Source organism: Homo sapiens, chromosome 3 (assembly GCF_000001405.40).
Source record: "Homo sapiens chromosome 3, GRCh38.p14 Primary Assembly".
Taxonomy (NCBI): Eukaryota; Metazoa; Chordata; class Mammalia; order Primates; family Hominidae; genus Homo; species Homo sapiens.
Window position 1 is genome coordinate 30,432,343 of NC_000003.12, and position 26,586 is coordinate 30,458,928.

General features: G+C 37.6%; 2 long non-coding RNA genes across 5 annotated transcripts in view, besides 1 other annotated feature; one reads left to right on the forward strand and one right to left on the reverse strand.

Moving 5' to 3' along the window:
• The window catches only part of LOC101927995 (uncharacterized), a 119,590-nt gene that overhangs the window by 82,552 nt on the left and 10,452 nt on the right, over positions 1-26,586 (forward strand). Inside the window, exon 4 of one of the 4 annotated variants that reach the window (XR_427322.4) lies at positions 3,851-4,679. The exons of the other annotated variants lie outside the window; for them this stretch is intronic. This is a non-coding gene — a long non-coding RNA (uncharacterized LOC101927995). Of the gene's footprint in view, positions 1-3,850; positions 4,680-26,586 lie in introns of those variants that run through there. 4 annotated transcript variants of the gene reach the window in all.
• Positions 1-26,586, reverse strand: part of LOC105377013 (uncharacterized) — a 47,433-nt gene that overhangs the window by 12,603 nt on the left and 8,244 nt on the right. Inside the window, exons 2-3 of the long non-coding RNA XR_940683.2 lie at positions 11,330-11,414; positions 8,665-8,812 (exon numbers count right to left, since the gene is read on the reverse strand). This is a non-coding gene — a long non-coding RNA (uncharacterized LOC105377013). The remainder of the gene's footprint in view (positions 1-8,664; positions 8,813-11,329; positions 11,415-26,586) is intronic.
• Positions 8,635-8,929: a silencer, noted in NCBI's record as "tiled region #9798; HepG2 Repressive non-DNase unmatched - State 7:EnhWF". NCBI's record gives its function as "represses a minimal TATA promoter and a strong SV40 promoter by Sharpr-MPRA in HepG2 cells {active_cell/tissue: HepG2}" and the evidence as "EXISTENCE:reporter gene assay evidence [ECO:0000049][PMID:27701403]".

Here is a 26,586-nt window from a genome sequence, read left to right on the forward strand (position 1 = left end):
AAAACAAGCAATGGGAAAAGGATTCCCTATTTAATAAATGGTGCTGGGAAAACTGGCTAGCCATATGTAGAAAGCTGAAACTGGATCGCTTCCTTACACCTTATACAAAAATTAATTCAAAATGGATTAAAGACTTAAATTTTAGACCTAAAACCATAAAAACTCTAGAAGAAAACCTAGGCAATACCATTCAGGACATAGGCATGGGCAAGGACTTCATGTCTAAAACACCAAAAGCAATGGCAACAAAAGCCAAAATTGACAAATGGGATCTAATTAAACTAAAGAGCTTCTGCACAGCAAAAAAAACTACCATCAGAGTGAACAGGCAACCTACAGAATGGGAGAAAATTTTTGCAATCTACTCAGCTGACAAAGGGCTAATATCCAGAATCTACAATGAACTCAAAGAAATTTACAAGAAAAAAGCAAATAACCCCATCACAAAGTGGGCGAAGGATATGAACAGACACCTCTTAAAAGAAGACAGTTATGCAGCCAACAGACACATGAAAAAATGCTCATCATCACTGGCCATCAGAGAAATGCAAATCAAAACCACAATGAGATACCATCTCACACCAGTTAGAATGGCGATCATTAAAAAGTCAGGAAAAAACAGGTGCTGGAGAGGGTGTGGAGAAATAGGAACACTTTTACACCATTGGTGGGACTGTAAACTGGTTCAACCATTGTGGAAGTCAGTGTGGCGATTCCTCAAGGATCTAGAACTAGAAATACCATTTGACCCGGCAATCCCATTACTGGGTATGTACCCAAAGGATTATAAATCATGCTGCTATAAAGACACATGCACAAGTATGTTTATTGTGGCACTATTCACAATAGCAAAGACTTGGAACCAACCCAAATGTCCAACAATGATAGACTGGATTAAGAAAATGTGGCACATATACACCATGGAATACTATGCAGCCATAAAAAATGATGAGTTCATGTCCTTTGTAGGGACATGGATGAAGCTGGAAACCATCATTCTCAGCAAACTATCACAAGTACAAAAAACCAAACACCGCATGTTCTCACTCATAGGTGGGAATTGAACAATGAGAACGCTTGGACACAGGAAGGGGAACATCACACACCAGGGCCTGTTGTGGGGTCGGGGGAGGGGAGGGGGGAGGGATAGCATTTGGAGATATACCTAATGTTAAATGACGAGTTACTGGGTGCAGCACACCAACATGGCACATGTATACATATGTAACTAACCTGCACGCTGTGCACATGTACCCTAAAATTTAAAGTATATAAAAAATAAAAAATAAAATTAAAATTCACCTGAAAAAAATAAAAAAATTAAAAGTAAAAAAAATTTTAAAAAAAACATAAAAGCATTTATCAAACTTTTGCATGAGTTACTTTTGTAATTTCCCAATGGTCAAGGAAAGTATTATAGCCAAGCCCAGAGTCAGTATGGGAGGGGACTACACAGAGATGCGAGTATTGGTAGGAATGGCTTATTGGAGGCCTATGAGCCACATCCCTCCTACATACAAAATACGCTCACCTCCCCTAAAGGCTCCAACATTTATCCCATTATGGCATTAGGCTCAGGCTTACAGACCAAGATTCCATCATCTAAATTAAAATCAGGTGTTGTCAAGGCACCCAAGATGTGGTTTTTTGGGTGCAGCTTCTCAGGTGTGCTTTATCTTGACGTGGAGACCTGTAAATTTCAAAATGAATAAATACAAGGTATTTACCCTCCACACATCCAAAATAAAGTGGAGAGATGGAGACAGAATAACTGCTATAGACACTCTCTTTAAAAAAGTGGGAGAATGAGAGGCTTATAGTAATTACTGGTCCAAAGCAATTCTGCAAGTCAGTTGAACATACGTCAGTAATTAATCTTTCTCTGAAGGCAGGAAATGTTGGGTGCTTTGAGCCTAGTTCTGCTCATTGGAACAGTGCTCCATGGCTCTTAACTCTGTCCTCTATGATATTAATTTTACATTCTGAGTCATCCTTACTATTCCATAAGACTGGTCCTTGTTTGCGGCTAAGTAACTTTCTCAGCTTACTTGATGTCCAGAGAAGGTTGGAGCCCAGAGACCTCTTTTCATTTTGAATCATCTGTGTTCCTTTCAGTACTAGCAGGTAAAGCTCCTTTAAAATCGTGGGTTTTAAAATTTAAAATTGGGGTTCTTATTTATCAAATTATAAGCCACTTCATTAAACACATCAACACATTAATATTGTCTCCTTTATATCTTATAATTTTTGTTAGGGTGTTGTGGAACAATGTTCTTAAGATACTTAGAAGCTCTTTTGTTTAGCAGAGAAGATTTTTGAAGCACGCATCCAATATTACTAGAATCTCTTTTCATTAAGTGAGAGCATCTGAAATGCTTCCACATTAAATCATGTTTGGTGTCTTCATGAAGTGTCTTACAGCTTCACCCTAGACTTGATTTTGATCTTAAGGTAACATTTAGTGGGAATATGCCCTGATATGGCAATACCATCCAGTCTAGAGAAAAGGGTTGTAGTTATTTAAATTATTAAATATTATTAGCTACTTAAGTTATTAAAGTATTTTCTGTAATTTTCCTTGAAAAGTTAACAGTTCCTTCTTCAGTTCCCCTTTCTTTTCTTGTACTTTATCATACGTAGGTAAAAGAAACCAATGACACTTTCAATATCCTGCCTATCAATCTCCCACACTGGTTCCATGAGTTTACTAAATACATTTTCTATGTCCAACATTATCATTGATGAGTATTGTCAAACATTTGACACCGTGTAACATGGATGACCATTTTTTCAGTCTCCAAGAATTTTGTCACCGCTTTTTCAGTCTTCACTAAAATCTCCTCATAGTTCTTCAAGCCCCCACAAACTTCCTGATCTCAATGTCAATGCCACATGTTTTAGCTTTTTTGCTGTTGAGGCTGTCTCCACTTTAGGAGCTTTTTTCTGTGCTTTTTAATTTTTTCTTACTTTCCATGTATATTAGTCTGGATATTTCTTACTTTTCTTTCCAGTTCACTAATAATTTCTTCTCCTGTGTCTAATTTGATCTTAAGCCCACCTAAGTTCTAAATTTCAGGTATTAAAATTTTCAATTCTAGAATTACATGTTAATTCATTTTCATAGATTTCTGTTCTCTGATGAGCTTTTCCATTTTTGTCACATAATTTCTTAAACATAAATATTGTATTTATTTTAAATTCCACGCCTAATCATTTTGATACATGGGTTACCTACGGGTCACTCTCTTGACTGTTTTTTAATTTTTCGCTCTGTCTTAGCTTACATGTATTTTGTCCTGTCTCCTGACGTATCTGGTAACTTTGAATGAATGCTGGGCATTGTGACTAAAATATTGCAGAGGCTCTGTGAGATGCTGTTTTCCTCAGAGAAAATTTGATTTTCTTCTGGCAGGCAAGTAGATTAGAGGCAGATCACCTTGATTTAAACAGGAGTTGAGATGATTCAAGCCTGAGTTTCTGTCTTTGTGAGATCTAGTCTATTTGTAGGTTTTGCTTTACACCCAGGATAAAGCTTCCCAGGCATCTCAGATAGGATCCTAACATGCTTACTAGGAACCCTGCTTTGAAGTGCCGTGAAATTCAAATTCTGTCTTACCAGCATCGTGAGTCTGCTAAAAAGCTGGGCTTTATATTTTAGCTTCAAGCTGCTGCTCTCTGCTTTTCTTGCTTGCTTTCACTTTATGCAATTTACGATTTTGCAAATGCTTTCAGGGTAAAGCGCACACAGAATTTTAGATTCACGTTTCCGTAGTTCTGTTTCCTGTGGGACATTAAACCCTCAAGTTCTGGCTCACTTAATAACCTTGATCTCCAATTTTTGTCTTCTCAGGCAAGTGAGACTGCCGAAGTCTTGAGCTGTCTGTCACCTTTCTGCCTGGTTTCTCAGCCCTACACCTGTTACAAATTAGTAAATGCCTCAAGGAGAAAACTGACTAGGACTATTGGCATTATCATGATGCAGTTTTCTTCAAAATCATGGTTGCTCTTCAGAGCCTTCAAACAGCTGTTTTTGTTTTGGGTTTTTTTGTTTGGTTGGTTTTATGCTGCATTTATAGATGTCTAGGCACAATGATGGGCCTGCATAAGCTACTCTACCATTGCAAAAATGCAAAATCACATTTCATAATGCAATTTGCTGTTGGCAAATTCGATGTGAATCTCAGGTCATCATTATTGCCAATCCTGTAATTTTAAATCTATCCCCATGAAATTGAATCTGATTTGATGTAATCTATCTCCACAAGAATTTATAGCTGGAAAGGACTTCAGAATATGTCCCTTTCTAATCCCCCTCACTTTGCAAGTGACACAGCAATTTAGCGACGAAGCTGAGATTAGAACTCTGGCCCCCAGACACCCAGTCTAGTATGTTTTCTTACACAATGGTGCCTCATGAATAATGCCAAAAGTGTATCCTCAAAGTTTTGTACCTACATCCTTGAAGAACTTCTTGGGCAGGCTTAAGCATTTCTTAGTTGCAATGGCTTGATAATAAAGTTACTCTTAAAGTTATACAAGGAATTTCTTCAACTATACCAAAAAATTTTAGTCAGACCGTTCTCTCAGCAAAAAAAGAAAAAGAAAAAAAAAAAACTGTCATCCTTTCATCTTTCATCTTTTATCCCTTAAAAAAAACAATGTGTCCCAGATAAACGAATGACAACTCTTGCAGACACAAACATACTAGACAGCCAGGGGTAGGGATAATGGTTCTAGAACTGGAAAAATTTCCACATCTATTGGTGGAAACTTTGGGAATGAAACCAGAGAAGCCTATTAATCTAAAATGAGCTGCAGCACCTCAGCCCAGTTTCAGCCAAACAACTCCCCTGCTGGTGCTTGCTGCTGGCACTAACTGCAGTTAAAGAAAGTTCATGTTTCTCAGGAGGCCCTAGTATAGGAAAGGCATCTTTAATTTAAGAAAGCAGGATAAATCTCTCTCTCTCTCTTTCCCCCTAACAAGTGCTTTCACAGGCCTAGTGGTGGGAGTGGAATTCCGTAGGTGGTGTCTATGTATTGCTTCAGTCCCTAGAGAGTCAGCATATTAAGTAACTGCTTGCCCTAAAATCAACCGGAGACCAGCATTTGGGAGCCTTTCGACAAAACCTTGGTTGAGTGAATTTCAGCACGCCTGTCATGTGACCAGGCCACTCTATGGTGTGAATGAAATATCCAGCTTGAAGACTTTTCAAGAGCCAGCTATAAAAACACACAGAATTCTGCCCAGCTGCCCCTGTGAAACTTAATTCCCCAGTGCTTATTCTTCCTTAAATTAAGTTCCCTCCTTTGAGAGCTATGAGCTATTTGCTTACCCAGCAGAAGAATCATTTTTTTACCATAAAAGGGTAGCTCCCAATATTTCCTACCCTTGGCATTGGGGACCATTCTGTTTAATGTACATTAACACCATTGCCCCACAGAAAGAAAACGAAATGTTTTATGTTGAGGTCCTAGGCATTCTGAACATGGCATCTCATTCGCAGAGCTTATTTAATATCATCGGTAATAATTACAATTCAGAAATTTATTAAACAATCAGCCAAGACCACTGAAAGCACTATGGTTTCACATATTCTTTACTCCTGGTGTCTGCTAAAGGAAGCCCCCAAATTGTTGCCATGTAACTGGGAAAAACGTATAAATTATTTTCTTCCACCACAGATTACTTCTTAGGAGGTAGTAGATACAAGGATTTTCTGAAAATTTTCTGTATTTTAACTGGGATTTGGGTCAAATGAATGCTTACGTTTGTCAAATCATATCAAATTATACACTTATGATCTGTACATTTTACTGTATATGAGTTGTACTTCAAATTAGAATGAGGGTGGGGAGGGATGGAAAGAAGTTTCCCATGTTCTGGCATGAACAATCATTTACCTACAAAAAGAATCAGAACTCTCTTCAGAAGGATCGGGTGGGAGAGGCTGTCTCAAGAACTGCCAGCCACTTAGCCTGTTAATGAATAGCCCTCAGCAGGTTTGACTTTCTGTTCCTCATCTGATCCCCTTACGCATCTCTGGCTTTTATTATATGCCACCTCACATCCTTTTTGATAATGGGAAGAATTTAAGTTATCAATAAATTCAATTTTTATGCCATTCCAACCAAATCTTCCTCTATGTGGTAATGATCTCATGGTCATTGGGATCATTGACCTTACAGGTGGTGATCATTTTCTGAAGTGTAGGTCTGTTTATTGGAACTATAAAGAGTTTGGGACCACCAACTATGGCCTCTTTTGCAAGAGAAGAGTTCTGTTTTCAGAATCAACTTCCTATTTATTTTTCCCCAGGAATCTCCTTGTGGTTACTTTTCTTCAGAATTCTAATTGTTACCACAAAGTGAACAATTAAGGAAAAAATGCAAAAGAGATCGAGACATAATTTTAGAGTAAAGCAATACTGCTATCTTTTAGAGTTGGAAGATATTTTAAAACAACTACTATCTCAGTACATTTTAAAGGGAAATAGTTTTTCTGTGATTTCCTACAGTGACTTTAGAATAATAATAATGTCAAAGTACTAAAAAATTGCTTTGGGGTAATTAATAACCATGTCAAAATCTGCTTTTCTTGTTTCTATGTATAAACGGGTTGTACCTCATAAAAAATAATTTATATGGCCCTCCTTTCCAATGAGACTACTGTTCAAGTTGTTCCCTTTCAGAACAAAAGAGACAACTAAGAAAAAATCAGTTTTACCAGCAAAATGTCTTGGGATTCTTTCTGTGGTTCATCTTGCCCTCTGATGTTTCTAGGATATATTTTCATTCTAAGAATAGAAATTCAGATATTTTGCAGCATAGAATCTAGAGGCAAAAAGGCACAATTGGCACACTGTAACTTTTTACATTTTCTTATGTATTATTATTTTAAAATCCAATACAAAAAGTGATGGTGGTAGGTGGAAAGACCATTGAACTCAGAGTGAAAAAAAAAAAAGCCTCTGTGTTTTGCAATATGCTAGCTGAGTGACCTTATCTAAGGTGAGGAATTGAAAATCTATGGTGATGGTGGGAGCAAATGGTAGACAGAATTTGAGATTACTTAGGAATTAAGTGAGCTGGGTTCAAGTCACAGTCCTGCTACTAGATGAGAATGTTACATCAAAGAGGTATTATTTTTTGTTTTTGTTTTTTCTTTTCTCTGGAGTCTTCGTTTCCTCTGTGGTTAAATTAAGGGATCATTCTGGGTAATCTCCAGGGCTCCATCCAGCCCCATAATTCTGTACAGAGTTCCATTCATGGGTAGTCTTGCTCAATATTTATTTGTAGAATATAAACAATTTTAAATCACACAAGAAAATCTCGACATAAAGAAGTAAACTTGGCTGGGCTTGTGGGCTCACTCCTGTAATCCCAGCACTTTGGGAGGCTGAAGCGGGTGGATCTCGAGGTCAGGAGTTCAAGACCAGCCTGGCCAAAATAGTGAAACCCGTCTTTACTAAAATACAAAAAATTAGCCAGGCATGGTGGTGTGCCCCTGAAATCCCAGCTACTTGGGAGGCTGAGGCAGGGGAATCGCTTGAACCTGGGAGGTGCAGGTTGCAGTGAGCTGAGGTCGCACTACTGTAATCCAGCCTGGTGACAGAGCGAGACTCCGTCAAAAAGAAAATAAAAAGAAGTAAACTTATTTGCCTCTTTCTACAATTGGTACCTTTCTACAACAGAATGACTTTTTAAATTTCCAAAGTAATGGCCATTTATCGGCCAAGAAGTGAAATTAATAAAAAAGTAAATGGTTTGGCACATCCTCTCCTTTCCTGGTACTCAACCTCTTTTAACTGCAGTGAAGTCTCATTTGCTTAGGGAGTAGGAGATCAGCCTTACGGTTCCCAACTGCCTATTGGGTCAAGGCCATTTAAAAGGCAGATGGCAGCCAAGGCAAACAATTCAATACTCCTCAAGCATACTTTTCATTTGAAGTATTAGCCAGATTTCTTGTTTTCTTTCCAATGGACTTTCACAAAATCTGATTCTGATTACTAATTGATGAGAGACTATTGAGGTTTGGCCTTTGTTTCTCAGCCTTGCTCCTGACTGTCCAATCTACTGTTGTAAAGCATGCCATTTCACATTCTTGAAATTTTATTCTCTTCTATCTGTAAAATGAGTGGCAGTTCTCTAGTCCCCAGGAATGATTCATTCATCCTGGTGTGTTGACTCTCACATCATTATTTACTATCTATACAAATAAAAGGATTCAAAGAGAAATTACGTATTGCACAAATAATAAACTTGAAAAATTAATAAACAAAAACATGTAGCTGAGAACATCTGTTTACATTTCTCTTTGGGGCCTTAATAAAGAAGCAAGAAAATAAATAAGAATTATAAATTATTTCCGTCATAACTTCAACAGTAGGTGGCAATAAAAAAAACCTATATTTTCTAAAACTTGTGTATCCTATAGTATTTGTTGAATCTCCACCTCTTGGTCCTGGAATCATAGAGCCCTTTTTCCCTTATGTGAAATTAACATTGTTGAATCCAAATACACTGTGTGGGCAGGGGTCTTGTTCCTGTACCTTGCAAAGTTACTGAGGCCAAGCTCTGTGTTTGGACAAAACTAACAATACTTTCTAGAATTTTAAAACCCCTGACTACTTACGGTTGTGTTCTAAACATAGCATTCACACCAACCTGCTGTGGAAAGCACACAAAGTTCTTGGCAAAGCTGGATTTGCAGGAGTTGGAACAGCAGTGTGGTTTATCAGCAGGTTGAAAGAAAGAGACTTGACGATTGTGCTCTGCTTCTCACTCCTTCCCCAGGAATGTCTTTGTTATGACCCTGTGGGTTATGGCAAATGTAATTTCTGTCACCAGAGAAAAGGAAAGCAAGGAAAGGTGCCAGGAAAGAGAGACGGACATTTTTTAAAAATACCTATTATGAACCAGGCTCTGTGCTAGATAATGGAGACACAAAGGTGAATTATGGACACGTTTGCAACTTTGAATTGAATTATGGACAGGTTTGCAACTTTGACTCTGATGGAGGAGGCATATGTGTTCATAACAATTACAAGAGGGTGTGATACGTTTTATTAGAGCTGGAAGGTGACTTCGTTTTGTTCTCCCAATCATATTGAAGGGAAAACCCCATAGCACAGCCGTTAAAACCATGAGCTGCAAGCTCAAATTGACATGAAGCTTTAATACCAGCTCTGTCACTGGCTACATGTGTGCCTTTTCATAATTACTACTATTATCAAATCCCTCTTGAGTTTCAGTATCTTTATCTGTAGCACAGGGTTGGGGTGGAGAAGGGTGTAGCAATGGGGGATTATCATAAGAACTAAACCAAATAATACAGGCAGATATGTACTTAGGGCTTAGAAGACAGTAAGACTTAATAAAAATTATTTTCTCCTTTCATTATCCTTCCCATTTCACCAGTGAAAAATCAGGCCCAGGTATCTGTGCCTTGCCTAGGTTTGCAGGAGCTGATGAGAACAAAGGCAAAACTTGAACTCACATCTGATATGGAGCTCAATGCCTTTCCCTGGGCACAAGAGATGAAATTGTTGAAGCGACTCTGTCATGTTGTATGACCAGAGAGATGCACTGCTGTGTTCCAATGTTTTCCCTCTCCACATTTATCACTGACATTTGAAACTTCTTCTTTTCCTCACTTTGGAGATTACAGACGTTCCTAAATATCACAGACTGTCTTCCATTGACTCTCTTTTAAATCTGCTCACAGAAGAGCAAGATTTAAGTTTGTCCCTACCCTAAGGAAGGCCTAGTGAATCAGAGAATAACACGTTTTTTTCCTTCCATCCACATTCCATATGCCAAGAGATCCAGCATGTGAAATCCCATTGAAAATTCGCTTTCTCAGTCATTCAATAATCCAAATAGCTTTTTTTTCAGTATTTGTTTATGTGACAGGCACTGTATTAAAGGTTAGGGTTATAGCTGGAAAAGATAAAATCCTTGCCCTCAGAGAGCTTATATTCTGTTAAGGAAGTAAAAAATAAACATGGAAGCAAATAAATATATTCTGTATTTTTAAGCAGTAAAAAGTGCTGTAAAGAAAATAAGGCAAGGTAGTAAGATGAAGGGTGAGGGCCGGGCATGGTGTCCCATGCCTGTAATCCCAACACTTTGGGAGGCCAAGGCAGGTGGATCATTTGAGGTTAGGAGTTCCAGACTAGCCTGGCCAGCATGCTAAAATTTCATCTCTACTAAAAATACAAAATTAACCAGGTGTGGTGATGCATGTCTGTAATTCCAGTTATTCTGGAAACTGAGGCAGGAGAATCGCTGGAACCCAGGAGGCAGAGGTTGCAGTGAGCCAAGAGAGTGCTGCTACACTCCAGCTTAGATAACAGAGTGAGACTCCATCTCAGAAAGAAAAAAAAAAAAGATGAAAGGTAAGGGTGGAGAAGACTGGTTTGAAATGAATGTTCAGGAAAGACCTCTCTGACACAGTCACTTCGAAAAGAGACCGAAATGAGAAGATGAAGCCAGCCATTTACATTTGTAAACAAGGATATAGCACGTGCTAGGAAATATGGCCTTAGCTTGTTCAAGAAACAGACTAGAGAGTAGCCAGTAGGGCTGAGGCACTGTGAACAAGTGGTACGAAATGGGATTCCCAGAATGAGGTAAGGGCTAGATCAAGAAGAGTCACCCAGGCCAAAAGAGAGAGTATGGATTTTATTCCAAGTGTGATATAAAGTCCTGAATAGTCTTAAGGTTGATATCAGCCTTTGTGACTGCTTTGTGGACAATGGATGACAGGGAGACGAGGGTAGGAAAAGGAAGACCCAGCTAGGAGTCAACTGCTATAGTCCAGGTCAGATATGCTGGCGAGTTGGACCAGAGTAAAAAAAAAAATCTCAAGTTTTCTGTGAACTAAGGAATTATTTTGTATTAACATTATTTAACATTTGAGACTTTACTTGAACACTTTATAAAGCAGTGATCCTATATCAAGGATATGGTAAAACCTGAGTCTTCAAGGTTTAAAATGAGGTGACACTTAAGAGGGAAATACACTTTGAGGCTCCTCTCACAATTTGACTTCTAAAATGCCTACACCTCAGAGAAGCACCTTTTGAAGTCTACGCTACTTGAGTCCTTGTTCTAAAATCTGGCATTATTTCTCTTGTTTATTAAAAATCTAAGTGATACAAATTTTGTGCTGACCTTTTTCCATTATTTTGAGAAACATAGAATATCCTACTGTTCACAAATCAATAATCCTAGTTTGACTCAATTTTGTAAAATTCTCTCTCTCTCTCAGACACACATACATACACCAACACACAAAACAAACTATTAGGTTTCAAAGAATACTCACAAATGGTCCCTTTGCTAGAAGAAAAAGGTAAGTTGTGAGAAAAGCTTCCTTGAAGAACTTCCATCAGTTAGAGTGATAGAATATCCTGCAAGTATTCAAAGAGCAGAAATGATTTTCACATACTGTCACTCGGCAAGTTAATGTATGTGTAAAAAAGGAAATACCTATTCGCCAAGAAACAAAATCCTCTAAATTGCTACTGTCTTTGGCTATATTTTGAAGAATAAACCACAAAAATGAGCAATACCCAACAATTGATTTATGGCTTCTACTCACAAGCCATTCAAACCGCAGACATTCAGCATTAACTGCTACAGAGATAAATCTGGTCAACAACTTGATTGGCCTCTGGGAAACCATCGTGGTAACAGATGAAGGCCCTCTTTTGCCTCAGACTGAAGCAAGGTTGCAATGTTGAGATTAATTTTTATAGGCATATAATCTTCCTCTTTATTAAAGTTATTAATATTTTCTTTCACTGAAAGATACTACAATATTGTCTAAACTAATCTTAAACCAAGAGGCCTCATGGAGGGAGTCCAGGAAAGGTTTGAAAAAAATACATTAGGTCTCTTAAACTCTAATGTCATCTGTAAGTGCATTTCTTAGAGGCTAAGTCCCATTCCTTTTAAGTACACAAGAGTGTATGACTTGAAACACATAAAAACAACTGCCTTAAAACCAATAAAGCATCATGTTTTCTCTTTCCTTTTAGTCCTTCAAACTCCAAATTTTAAAAATAGATTCCATCCGGTGGAGGCAGCAAAACATTCTGTAGCTAAACATGACCTGAATAATTTTCAGAGGTCTAAGTAGAAAATCTTCATCTTGTATCCAAGACAAACAACAGGGCATGGGGTAATAGAGCAGTCCAGGGAGAAAAACATATCCAAAGAGCTGAAGCGTGTCACACCATTTGGAGGATTATAGGAAGTTTTTGCTTTCAAGGTGATTATAAAGCTTGTCTTTGGGGTGTATGTGCACTGTCTTTGGAGACCACTCCCCCTACCCTTAACACAGAGTGCTTCTAATTTCATGATCTTTAAATCAAGAAACAGCTATGTTTCAATGTTTGGATGCTGTCAGTTTCTGTGACATATTGTGTCAACATGGTGTCAAAAAATGTGGCAATTGGATAGACTAAATTTTTCTGTAACCTTGTGGTTCTTTTTGACACACACACGCACACACACACACACACAGACCCTCATAAACACACCTGTTCTATGAGTGATGGCATGTGCCAGTTCCAGGAGATAGTGTAGTGGGCTTACTAAGCCCATTATGCTATGCAGTTATAATTCAAATATCTACTCACTGTCCTTGGGAAGGCCTAATTCAGGCTGAGATATTAAATGTTCTGTTTACATGTTAGAATTCCTTCTGTAAGAAGGTTGTGTGTTCTTAAGAAATGATAATTGAGGTGATGGATATCTCAATTACCCTGATTTGATCATTACACATTGTATGCATGTATCAAAATATCACATGTACCCCATAAATATGCACAACTATTATGTATCAATAAAAAGAATTAACTTTTAAAAAGAATATTATTTGTTCTTAAAGTGTATGTGTCTTTTTTTTATTATACTTTAAGTTTTAGGGTACATGTGCACAATGTGCAGGTTAGTTACATATGTATGCATGTGCCATGCTGGTGTGCTGCACTCATTAACTCGTAATTTAGCATTAGGTATATCTCCTAATGCTATCCGTCCCCCCATGTGTCTTTTAAAAGTAGCTGCTTATTGATTAGGAGACCAAGCCACATCAGGAGGAACATGTAGACCTGACAGAAGAAATGCTGGAGGGTTAGTTTCAAAGAACTATTTTCTTTGAAGATTGTTCAATTTCCCCCTTAAGGTATCATTTTAGTTTGAATTAACCAGACAGAAAATAAAATGGTGAGTACTGTGATTACCTAATGTAAACATGGAAGGCCAGTTTACATTCTTTGAATGGAGATGGCTATTTCCCATGAAGAACATGAATGTCCTCATTTCTACAAGTCCTAGGGAAGAAAAAACAAAAGACAAGTCCCCCATTGAGGGAAATGAGGACTCTTTTTCCTTCTTCCTGAGCTCAAGAGAAAGTTGGGAGCCTATCTTCAAAGCAGCATAGAAACGACCAGAGCATCCATGTGGAGGGACATGAGGGTGGCCCCTGAAACATCGAGGCAAACCAAAGCCAAGGGAAGAGTCAGGGAAGGGAAAAGCCATAGGACAAAGACTCAAAATTATTGTTCAGAATCCAATCATATTCTCTGCGTTGTAGTTTCCTGCTGTTGTTTTCCAAACCTTGGTCTTAATTGTCCTTTGGGGAATTAATAGAGATGCCTGTTCCATTGTTAGGGTGAAACAGTACTGAGGAAGGAGATATGAAGGAGATGTCTGGTACAGTTGACAAGTGAAAACCATGTGGGAATCATAGAACATGTAAACAATCCCCTGGCATTCTCCGATATGCCTGGAGGGGGGATAAAATAAAAGACCAGACTTTCCACAGTCACTCAGGACAACAAGTCAGATTGTAGATATTTGAATATTAAAGGAAAAAGAGACCATAAAGAACTTGGTTATGTAAGCATATACTGGAGAGGGGAGTGCAACAAAGACTCTAGGGTTCAGTTACTACTAATGGCAGATTTCATCTCCTGAGCACCTACCCACCATACATCACACAGCTTCCATAAACTGCCTCATTCAGTCCTCACAAGAACATGATGGGTATTTTCTAATTGACAGAAAACAGTCTCAACCCACTTCATTGACTCTCTTACATTTAACTTTTCAAAATCCCAAACTGATAAAATCATTCAGTCGTGAAATGGAACCAGGCAATCTTTGGAGCTAGACACACCAGGCTCCACATTCTTGCTCTACCATTTATTAAATCAAGACTGTGGGCGATAGAATTAACCTACTCAGATGTGAGTTTTCTTTTCTGTAAAGAGACAGTAATAGAAGTACATTGTGTGGGTTACGTGAAATAACACCAGTATCCCTAAAAATGTACATTCCCTTTTCACTTCTTTCTTTACCTCCAAACCTTACATAAAGTGTTGTCTGTCACCTCTGGCAGTGCATCTCAAACTTCGGTAAGCACAGAAACCACCTGGCAACCTTCTTAAGATGCAGATTCTAGGTCAGCTGGTCTGAGATTCTGTATTTCTCACAAGCTCTCTGGTGGTGATGGTGCTGCTCATTTTCAGACCACACTTTGTGTGATGAGTACCTTTGGCATAGCTCTAAATGCCTTTCCCCAGAATTCACTGTTTGGTCCTAACCTGCTCTTCTACTGCCAGTACCTCTCCTTCCTCTCAGTCCTTGATTCCTGATTCCATTAGCCACTGTTGAAACATAGCTCATATTTCCACATCTGCTTTTATTATTATTATTATTAATCTTCCTATAATATTTCAAGATTCCAATACATCTGTTGTCTTCTTTCCTTGAAAATGCCCTAGTAACATTTAACAATCCCGTTCAAATGCTACTCTCAAAATGAGCCTTTTGATTTTACCACCAGCAGCAGCACAACCATGCAGAATCAAGCTTTTTCCCATGCTGCCAGAGCATTTTGATGCTTCTGGTAACATATGAAGCACATTTTATTATACTTAGTCACGTGTTTAACATATGCACTGGCCTTATACAAATATAGATGTCATGTCAAAAACCATGTCTGATTTGTATTTTATCTTCAACATACAATAGTACTTGGTACATAGTAGTTTCTTGATAAATGCTAATTGGAATAAATCAACTTTAACAAAATAGAGTAGCTGCCAAAAATGGGGCGGGGTGTGGGTAGTTACATCATAGGAAACACAATTTATTTATTATATTTAAAACAAGAAACATATTCAGTTTTGGCTCTAGATCTGGGTTACAGGTACACTGATTAACAAGAAAAATGATGAGGAGATGATGTCAAACTACCAGGGCTAATTGCAAATGAAAAGTATTCAGGTTGGAGAAGATGGGGTGCATAAAGGAATCCCATTGCCATCCTCAGATCCTTGAATGTGCATCACATAAAGATGAATTTAAACGGTTTTCTGTGGCACCAAGAGCTAGGACTTGAGCCGAAGGGTGTAAGCTATGTGAAACAGTGCTTGGCACACAGTAGGAAACCAATAATAACATTATTTGTGTCTATATAAGAAAAAGCTTTTAACAGAGATTTAGGAGGTAATTATTTGCCAATGCCAAGGCATATCAATCCAGAGTCAAGACAATTATTGATTAAGAAAGAGATTCAAGAACAAGAAAAAAGAAACTCTCATATGGCAACTTTTAAAGCTTCTTTCAACCTCAAGAGTCTAAAGTCATGAAGAGATGTCATTAGCAGGAGCTAACGATTTTTAATTTAATATCTTTTTGTCATTACCTGGTCATCAGATCAAGAGCACTATTTAGGGGTATTTATCTACCAGAGCTGTAAGTCAAGAAGTCACTGAAATTCATGACTACAATGACAGGAATTTGGGTATATTTTTATGTGGGTGTTAACACCTACATTCACTCCACCAGCCAATCATCCCATCTTCTTTAAAAAAAAAAAACAAAACTGAGAGATATGATTGAGTGGAGAATATAACAAAATATGTTGACCACATTAAATCCTTTTTTGATTACCTTCAGCAGAGTGCACATAATGGTACACAGCGACTGTTTGCTAAACATTCATTGTTATTATTGAGGAAATTAGAGCGAAATTGAAATACATGTTTAAAAATTAGCTTTGGGTGAGGTGAAACAAGGGCCTACCATACTGTTATTTTCATTTTCTTCTGTTTTAATTTTAATACATGTTTCCTGAATTGATAGAATACCAAACTAGAAGAAACCTGACCATTAATCTAACTGAAGAAAAATTACTCTCTGTGAATAAACAATTTTTATTCAACATGAGGAAATACTACTGCAGAAGCAAACACTAGCAAATGCCTCAGCAGACAGATATTTTAATGAGTGTCCTGTGATTGTGTAAGCTCTAGATATATAAAATGCATTTTCTTGATTCATTAGAATTTTCACGTTTTAACACAGATGGGTGAAGTCTTAATATTTCTCCAAACTTATGGATCTCTGAGCCCACTCAGTAATCCTGAGCAGTAAATCAATCATATAAAAGGAAAAGCAAGCAATTTACAAAACCCATTATCATTATGCTGCATAAACAGATCAAAATATCTTATGCAGAGTTACCCAGTAGGTTGTACTGCGAATTGCTAGATGATACATATTAAGCCAACCCTAGGATGCCTGTATACCATTATGAAATTTTGTGATTTATATTAACTGTTCAGAAGTATAAGAAAATCTCCAGCTAGGGAAAAACGGCAACACAGCTAAAAGGTCCCCTGGATATCGTGAAGACTGAAGGGCTTTTCTTCTAAGAGAAGCCCTTCATGCTGGACAGCTGCTAGGCATATTCTGCCATAACCTTCCAAATATTTTGTGGTTCACATTCATTTCATGGCTTAATTACTAAATGCTGGCTTTTCTAATCATCCATGGCTTGAAGGCCTGAGGAATTTGCTGTCAAGTCCCCTGGTAAACGTTAAGTCTTTGTTGATGAGTGACAACTAAGGAATCACTCAGAAGTCTGAGAGGCCAAAGAAAATTGGAGGGAAACAAAGATGTAATTTTTGCCCTCTGTAGAACTGAAAATGTTCAAGGGAAAAAGCTCCGATGTGAATATCCTACAGATCCAGCTGCCATTTTCTTGACCCCAACAAAATGCTCTTCAGAAACCTCACTTGTTCTGATACTGAAATGTCTTCTTGTCAATCTCACAAAGCTGTGTTTTCCAACCCTTATGAATGCATTCTTATGACTTATATATAGCTCTGGCTCTTGGAATGAAATTGTTGGGTGACAATAATATTGTTGTTCTAATGTATCAAAGGACTCCTTCATGAGAAAAGTCATGTAATAGTTTTATATATCAAGCAGAATAGGCCCATAAACCAGACTGAAGTATTCTTTCATCAGGGCTTAATTCTATCCAAGATCATTAGAAATCCATCTATGGAAAAATATGGTCGAAGGCACCTTGAGTCTAGAGACTTCGTTCTAAATTTCTGAAGCAAAAAGAATATTAAATGCCAGGTGTAAGGTTGAAAGACATATGTGCAACATATAGTGGGCTTTAGAAACCAAGAAAAGCCAGTTTTCAATCAAGAAAGGAATAATTGACAGAGACATGTGTCTATTTTTGATATTTTCTCCTTTCTTTTAATTTTAAGAATTTTATTTTTAAATTATTTCAGATTTAAAAAAGCAGAAAATATAGTACAAATTAATTATCATACATCTTTTACCCATGTTTTCCTGAATTAAAATTTTACCTCATTTGCTTACTCTTTACTGATAGACACATGGAGAGATAGATATGTGGATTAGATATAGATACTATTTTTTTCTGAACTATTTGGAAATACATTGCAGACATTATGCCCCTTTACCCTTAAATACTTCTGTGTGCTTCTTTTTTTAAACAAACACATTCTCTTACACAACCACCATATAGATATCAAAATCAAGAAATTAACATTGATTCAATATTATCAAATCCACAGAACCTATCCAAATTTTGCCAATTGTCCCAATAATGTCCTTTATAGCACATTTTAAAAAATAATAGTTACTTATCAGGATCCAATCAAGGATTACACATTGCATTTTGTTGTCGTGTCTTTTCAGTCTTTTTAACCTGGAGCAGTTCCTTAGTCTTTCTTATGCCCTTGATAGATTTGAAGACTCCAGGCCATTTATCATTTTGTAGACTGTCCCTCAATTTGGGTTTGTCTGTTTCCCCATGATTAGATTCAGTTATGTATTTTTGGCAAGAAGAACCCAGAAATTATGTGGCTTTCCCTCATTTTGAAAATATTTTATTTTCCAGGCTTTTGTGACACAATGTTCACCTGAATTTGTTCGTATCTCACTGGCTATTTTATCCCTATCTTCTCTAGTATATCTCTAAATATCAGAGAAGCCCAAGATGCTCCATCTACCAACCTGCCTCCAAATTCTGTCTGGGTAGTTTCATCTAATCTCATGGAAATACGTATCCTCATACTAGGCACTCTCCTCTCTTTGCTCCAGACTCGATCTCCTACTCACACCGTTTCTTGAGTGTCAAAAAAGCATCTAAAATTATAACATGAGTGAAACCAAACTATTATTCCTTCCCTTCCAAAATTTACCCCTAGAGGCTCTGAATTGAATAATAAGAAGGGAGAGATTCAGGAGAATATGAGAGGTAAGTGTGAGTAGGGAAATATTATCAGTACAAGGAACTTCATCCCCATTGATTATCCTATATAAGATTGCTACTATCATATCACTAAAGAGTTGACAATCACCTTGGAAAATCTAATCTAATATTGCACAATGTAATCAACCCTTCTACAGGGCTATAACACATTGATGTTATAGTTGCAATGATAAAAAAATCTCACTTTATAAAAAGTCATGTTGCAAAGGCAATCAATTTAACTGGGCAATCCACAGCAATTTAATATATACCTTTGTGTCACCTATGGGGCACATTGTTTTAAAAATTGGCATAATTCAAATTAGGTTGCAAAAAGCACAAAATCGTAACAGTTTACAATTGCAGATACTGAACAAAGGAATGCAATGCAAACTAAACAGGCAGCCACTCAAAATAGCTGTATATCACTATGCTTTCTGCAATATTTTTTTCCTATGCACACACAGTTAGTGACCATGTTATAACTAATAATGGTCTTTATAACACAGATTGTGTTCCTGAATCAATCAATTACATTACACATAATTTAACTTAAAGGAGCACAAGCTGTAGAAACAATATTTGTAATTAACTTCTGTTCTAATGCTCTCACTGACTGGGAGATTTCTGTCTCACAGAGCAGCTCATTTCATTTTATTAATGACTTCATATTAAATCATTGGCTGCCATTCAATAGTTTTTACCCATTGACTCTAAGTTTATTCCTCTGGAGCCACATAGAAGTCTTGTTTCTTCTACACATGGCAAGATATGGAAATGCCTATGTTTCTTCTTTGTTTCATCTATCCTGAGCCAACAAAATCCTGGTTGTTAATGCCTTCTCAATACAAACGCGGACAAAGAAATAGGCCTGGTTGTCTGTGGACTTCACCAGAACAAATGTAGGTATTAGTCCAGAACAATGACATTGATCTTCATGTCCTTCAGCCTCTTCCTGGCATCTCAGTCTGATGGCAATAACATGCCAAGTCCATGTTTACCCTTTGTAATATTCCTTGTGAAATCTTTGCCTAATCCCCACTGCAATTGAAGTTATAGCTACAATCGAAGACTTGGATGTTAGTAGCAAAGTTAGTTGGCTTAGCTCCAAACTCTCACTTGATCTCATTGTTAAGATTCCAAAATCAATGGCTTCCATCTTGGAAGCTATTATAGGTTTTCTATGGCTATTTCACAGCTGATGCTCCACTCTGATGTTCTCAGAAACATCATCTCCATGAAACACATCTTATTCCTGAAGTTGGGAAGCAATTTTCTTTCCCAGAACTTCTCACAGTCAAATGTAATTGTTCTGGCCAAGAAGTGAGCAGATTTTTAATTTAATAGTTTTGCTGAGGTATAATTGACATACAAAATTTACCTGTAAAGTCATCACCACAATTAAGACAGTGAACATACACATTACCCCTCCCACAAATTTCTTTGTACTTCTTTGAAATTTCCCCTTCCCATCCTTCCTTACCCTCCTCCTATACCCAAGCGATGTGATCTGCTTTGTCACTACAGATTTCTTTGCATTCCTCGAGTTTTAAATATACTAAATCATATAGTATGTACTCTTTTTTTGTCTGCTTTCCTTCACTTGGCAAAATTACTTGGAGGTTTACCCATATCGTTGAATGTTAAACTAGTTCATTTGTTTTGGCTGCTGAATAGTATTCCATTGTTTGGATATACCACAATACTTTTATCCATTTGTCTAATAATGAACAGGTGGGCTATTTCCAGTTTTCAGATGTTAGAAACAAACTTAGCAGAGTTATTTTGATCTTTCTTGGATGAGTAGGCTTTGTCAGTGATTATCGTTCTTTTTGGTCTTCCACAGGCCAACTGATTCTTCCAGTTTAAAAATCCCCCTTTTCCAGGAATTTAGAATATGTTCACTAAGTGTCTGTGCTTGTAAGAAACACTAGTACCATATTCAGATATATCATTTTCCTATCTTTTGGACCACTGTCTGTTTTTGCAGAATTTTCTGACCTCTGAGGAAATGTGAATTTACTCTTCCCACAGGTTGGTAAAACTACTTATCTCCTACCAGAGAGTTTTGGGCTTAACTTCTGGAGTCTTGACAACATACACATATTCTTTTTCTAGGAGGTCTAGAATCCCTCAGGAAAGACTTCCAATAATGTGTCTGAAATTCTCAGGATGAATGTTTTCTTAGATTCCCACCCTGATTCTCTTTCTAAAAATAGAAAGGTATTAGGGAAAAAGAGTTCGTTCAATTCTCTTTATTGTGTCAAGTTTATAACTTATAATGAATATTCCTTAATAACTCTTTCTTCTCCCATACTTTCTTCTTTTTTCTCCTTTTTTGTCCTCCTTTCTCATACCCAAATCCTACTAAGGCCAAAGTTTCAAGGAGAAAAACATTAAAAATTATCAAAGCCAATGAGAAGGGCATTTTAATTCTATTTCTTTTTCCAATACCAAGTTCTATTCTTCTGCAACAGTCTTCTAACTTAAATTAAATTTGCAGAAGTACGGGCAATCCAGAAATATTTCTTAACAAAGATATATATATAATAGGGGCTGTCATCTCTGGGAACAGAGCCAGGTCATTTGAGAGCAGTTTCTGGTCTATCACATGTTTGGAAATGTTCTCCATCAGGCAATCCCTCTCCTGTCAGACTACATGAGTGACTGCTATTGATATAACTCAGTGTCGGTTGATCATGAGCAAAGCTAATGGTTCACAAGAAAACCACTCCTCTGTGTGTTCAACAAAATTCTCTCCTCTCTTTTTTGATTCTCAAGCAAATTACCTTTCAGAAGCAGTTGAGAAAAGCACCAATCAAAACCAATTCAATTTCTTAAATTGTGAACGTTTAAGTTTATGGGACAATATTACAGCTATTCATTCATCTTTCACATTAAAATAATTCAGTTCACAAAAGGGCAGATAATATGTTGGGTTTGCTTAGTTTTTTTGGCTCACTCTAAAGACTTCATCCAGAAAAAAAATTGCCCCAAATCGGATAACTGAATGCTATGGCTCTCAACTCCCCCATTCTCTCATGGAGAGCTTTGTTACTTTACCATGTCACTTAACTCCTCTCAATCTCATTTGTTCCATGGTAATTAATATGATACTGTTAATGAAATGATTAAAACATAACAGCCTGAGATACACCTGCAAAGGGCATTACACAGACTACTGAAAGATGTTACATAAGGAGTGTATAGTGCTGTGCAAATGTAGCATCAGTTTTATGTTTAAGAAGGCTCTCCACACTAAGGGAGCTTTCAGATCAATTGGAGCCTAGATCAATTTATCACATGAATTACGAATGCAAGGACAAAGAATGAGAAACAATACATGCATATTAGAGATACAACACTAGCCTAAGCTCAATGCTTAAATATTTATTAGAGATTTGCTCACAGCGCCTTAGACTATAAGACACTTAAATTCAACTCAAACTGGTTTAGTAAGAAAAGAATTTATTGGCTTTTATAACTAAAAAGTTCAAGTAGTGTGTATTAAAGGCATTGCTAGAGCCAGGCAATATTGTCACCAACTTTCCTCTATCAATCTCTCAGCTGTCCTTTTCACCTATGCTAGCTTTATTCTAAGATATGCTTCCATCTCCTGATTGCACGATGGCCACCATCTTGCCCTTAAGTGTACATCAGTGGATAGCAGACAGCTTCTTTTTCCTAGTATTAAAATAAAAATCTCAGATGTGCCAGTTACCAATGTTTTGCCTCTCAGCCCCAAATCCACCCTTTATTGCACTTCTTGTGATACTGAAACATGTTCCTTTTGCCAACAGGAATGATGCTAAGCTTGGTCAGTAGAAGGTGCTGAAGGGACCCTGGAGAGGGAAGAGGCTGCTCTTCCTGGTTGCAGCATGCTTGGCTTTGCTTACTCCCATGGTGCTGGGCTGGCCTGCAAGATACCTAGTGAAACTCCTTCCCTCGGGTGGCTTCCCAGCAGTGAGGAATCTTTGGGAAGAATTTCCCATCTTCCAAGTTTTTTCCTTCATTGGATACTCTCCCTCAGCCCCATGGCATTCTTTAGATTACCCTTTTATCTATTCCTAGTTAATTCCTGGTAAGTCATCAATAATTTTTTTTTTTTTTGAGACAGAGTCTTGCTCTGTTGCCCAGGCTGGAGTACAGTGGCACAATCTCAGCTCACTGCAACCTCTGCCTCCCGGGTTCAAGTGATTCTCCTGCCTCAGTCTCCTGAGTAGCTGGGATTACAGGCACAAGCCACCACACCAGGCTAATTTTTCTATTTTTGGTAGAGACAGGGTTTCACCATGTTGGTCAGGCTGATCTTGAACTCCTGACCTCGTGATCCGCCCATCTCAGCCTCCCCAAGTGCTGAGTCATCAATAATTTTTGTAACAAATCTTCTTGTTCAAATTATCACGTTTTAATTTCCTGATTGGACCCTGGCTCTGAATGACATCTTAGATGTGGTGCTTATTCATTTGGATTCAACAGGCTTGACCACATGTCCTCTACTAAACTAATATTTGTAACCAGTTAAACACAGTAAGCTTATTGGCTCAGCATGGGCCTTGTGTCCACCCCTGGAACCGTGGGGTACAGTTAGAAACATTTAGACTATACAGGCTGAGAATAGGACTGGGGTAGTCTACCAAAATTAAATTATGAGAAATTGATTTTGGGGAGGCACGACCAGCATAAATCATCTAAATGAGCAAATGCTTAAGCAAAGAGAGAGAGAGAGGGAGACTTAATAGGAGCCCTGAAGTCAAGAGCAATCATTTCAAAATATAGGAACACAGTTGACTGGAATAATATAGGCTTCATAGGGAAGAATCTAGATCAGATAAGGGCCTTTCTTCAGCCCCGAGAATTGTGGTTCCCAACAATTTCTTAGTGAAGAGAAATTTAAAACTGGGTCAAAACCATATGTAATCTTGCATTTAAAAAAATAAAAAGAATGTATTGGCTTACCTAACTAAAAAGTTCAGAATTAGGGCAGAATTTAAGCAATACTTGAGCTCTCAGCTTAACACTCACATCAAAGATAAATTTCTTGTTTTTTTTTTTTTTTGCTCTGATTTTTACAACGTTGGCTTTATTCTGAGCTTGGCTTCCCTCCTATTTCCCAAATGCTGCCAGCAGCTCTTGGGTCATCACGCTGCCTTGTCCAGAAAGAAACTAAGAACATCTCTGACGTAAATTTTCCTGCAAAAGTCCTGACACTTTTCTTTTTTTCTTTTCTTTTTTTTTTTGACTACTTTAGTTCACATGTCCACCCTTGAACTGTGAACTGGGTTCAGGGGCTAGAAAAACATGTTGGCTTAGCCTATATTACATCTTCCATTCCTAAAGCTAAGAGTACCACAATCTGGGATTATGGGAAAGTAGAGACTGCATACTAGGAAGCCCGCCAACAGATGTACCCTATAGGAAATAATGAACTACTTTTTCATTACAACCTTATACCTTCTCAATTTGTAAGAAACACCCATTACACTTTACCGCATTTGTTTTTACAATCATATGTCATTTACAAGACTCTAGGTGGGTTCCTTTGATGGCAGGAAATACCCTTTGTCACTCCTCTTTCCCCCAGAATAAACTGTAGAAGCTTAATAAATGTTTGAATACATAAATGATCTTAAACATTATTTAAAGAGGCTTGAACTTTATTCTGCAGATAATAAGGCACTCTCTAAGGGTTTTGATAGAACAGAATTATAATCTAAGATGTTTTAAAACCAGCAATGTTGAAACAAATGGAAAAAAGGAAACTAGTACAGAGGCTATCATGGTTGTCCAAGCAAATGATTCCAAAAAAATCTAATCAATGGCAAAGGCAGTGGGACTGAAGAAGAACGCAATTTCTGAAAATTTTCAGAAGTGGAATAGGATAGGCTTTGATGATTAGTGAAACATGGGGCCTGATGAAGGAATGAGCTAAAGAAAACTCAGTGTTCTCATTTGAATGATCAGGTGAATGGACCAAGAAAAGAAAAAAAAAAAAAAAAGCAAGTAACAAGTTTGCAAGAGAAATTAAAAAGCTCATTATATATAATCTATAGAACTCAATACCTGTTCATAAATACTTGAAGAGGAAGAGCTATTTATTTGTAAATATTTTGCTAGCTTCCCACAAATCAGAGAGGTAATTATTTTTTAATGAATGTTAGCTCTGAGTATATCATGCCAAGAATTGATTACCCTAATGCAACTAGTTTATGTCATGACTTCTCCCATTTATATTTGGCTTAGCATGTTTTTATTTTGATATCTAGGTGGCCTACAGAATTTCTTGAGACAGCTGCCTCTAACAGTAAGAGAATACACAGTGATGGATAATAGCCAAATCCACTAAAGCAGCCTGTGAGCAATGCTAAAGACTGGGGATAGGAAGAATATGGATTTTGTTTTCCTGCTGTTAAATTTTTACATCTGAGCAGGGATGAGCTAAAATCCCTGACCACACTCCTTCAGAAATTATATTTGCCATTGGTTTCCTGCCGATGGATATTGATAGAACAGAGTGTTAAACTAGCTGTCTAGTGGCTAGCTTTTTACTTCCTTTTCTCCACTGATCTCAAAAGAGGTGAATTCTTGTAGTCAGAGTAGGGAGGGGCTTTGGAGCATAGCTTTGGATCAGGACAGATCTGGGCTTGAATTGGATATCAACTATTTGTTATCTGTGACACTGTGAATACATATTCCATTCTCTTTAAGCCTCGGTTACCTTATCTCTAAAAAGAGTATAATAGCTGTTACTTAACTCATTGTTGTAAGAATTAATATATGAAAAGCACTTAGCACAGTGCCCAAATAAGACCAAATGTTATCAAATGGGTTCAGACATTACTACTACTATTTCAATTGTGAATGAAACATGCTATAGTTTGGATATTTGTCCCCACCAAGCCTCATGTTGATATGTAATCCCCAGTGTTGGAGATGGGGCCTGGTGGGAAGGTGTTTGAGTCATAAGGATGAATCTCTCGTGGCTTGGTGCTGTCCTCATGTTAGTGACTGTGTTCTCATGAGATCTGATTTTTTAAATATGTGGCACCTCCCCCACTCTCTCTTGTTTCCACTCTGCCATGTGAGATGCCTGTTCCCCCTTTGCACTCTTCCCTGAGTAAAAGCTCCCTGAAGCCTCCCTAGAAACAGAGCAGACACTGGTACTTTGCTTTCTGTAAAGCCTACAGAACTATGAGCCAATAAAACCTCTCTTTTAAAAAAAAAATAAATTACCAAGCCTCAGATATTTCTTTATAGCAATGCAAGAATGACCTAATACAGAAACTTGGTATTGAGGAGTGGGGCATTACTATAAAGATACCTGAAAATGTGGAATTGACTTTGGATAACAGTAATAGGTTCCAGTTGGAAGAGTTTGGAGGGCTCAGAAGATGATAAGAAGATGAGGGAAAGTTTGGAAGTTCTTAGAGACTGGTTAAATGGTTATGACCAAAATGCTGATAGTGATATGGACAGTGAAGTCCAAGCTGACAAGTCTCAGATAGAAATTAGGAACTTATTGGGAATTGGGGCAAAAGTCATCTTTGTTATGTCTTAGCAAAGAACTTGGCTGCATTGTATTCATGCCCTAGGGATCTGCAGAAGTTTGAACTTAAGAATGATGACCTAGAATATCTGGCAGAAGAAATTTCTAAGTAGCAAAGCATTCAAGATGTGGCGTGTCTGCTTCTAGCAACCTATGATCAGATGTGGGAGAAAATAGCTGACTTAAAGTTGGAACTTATATTTAAAGGGGAAGCAGTGTGTAAAAGTTTGGAAAATTTGTAACCTGGCCAAGTGGGCAGAGAAAGAAAAAGCTTTTTCAGGAAAAGAATTTAAGCAGGCTGTGGAGCAATCACTTGCTAAAGAAATTTGCATAACTAAATGGGAGCCAGGTGCAGATAGCCAAGACTATGGGGAAAAGGCCTTGAAGGCATTTCAGAGATCTCTGGGACAGCCACTCCCATCACAGGCCCAGAGGCCCA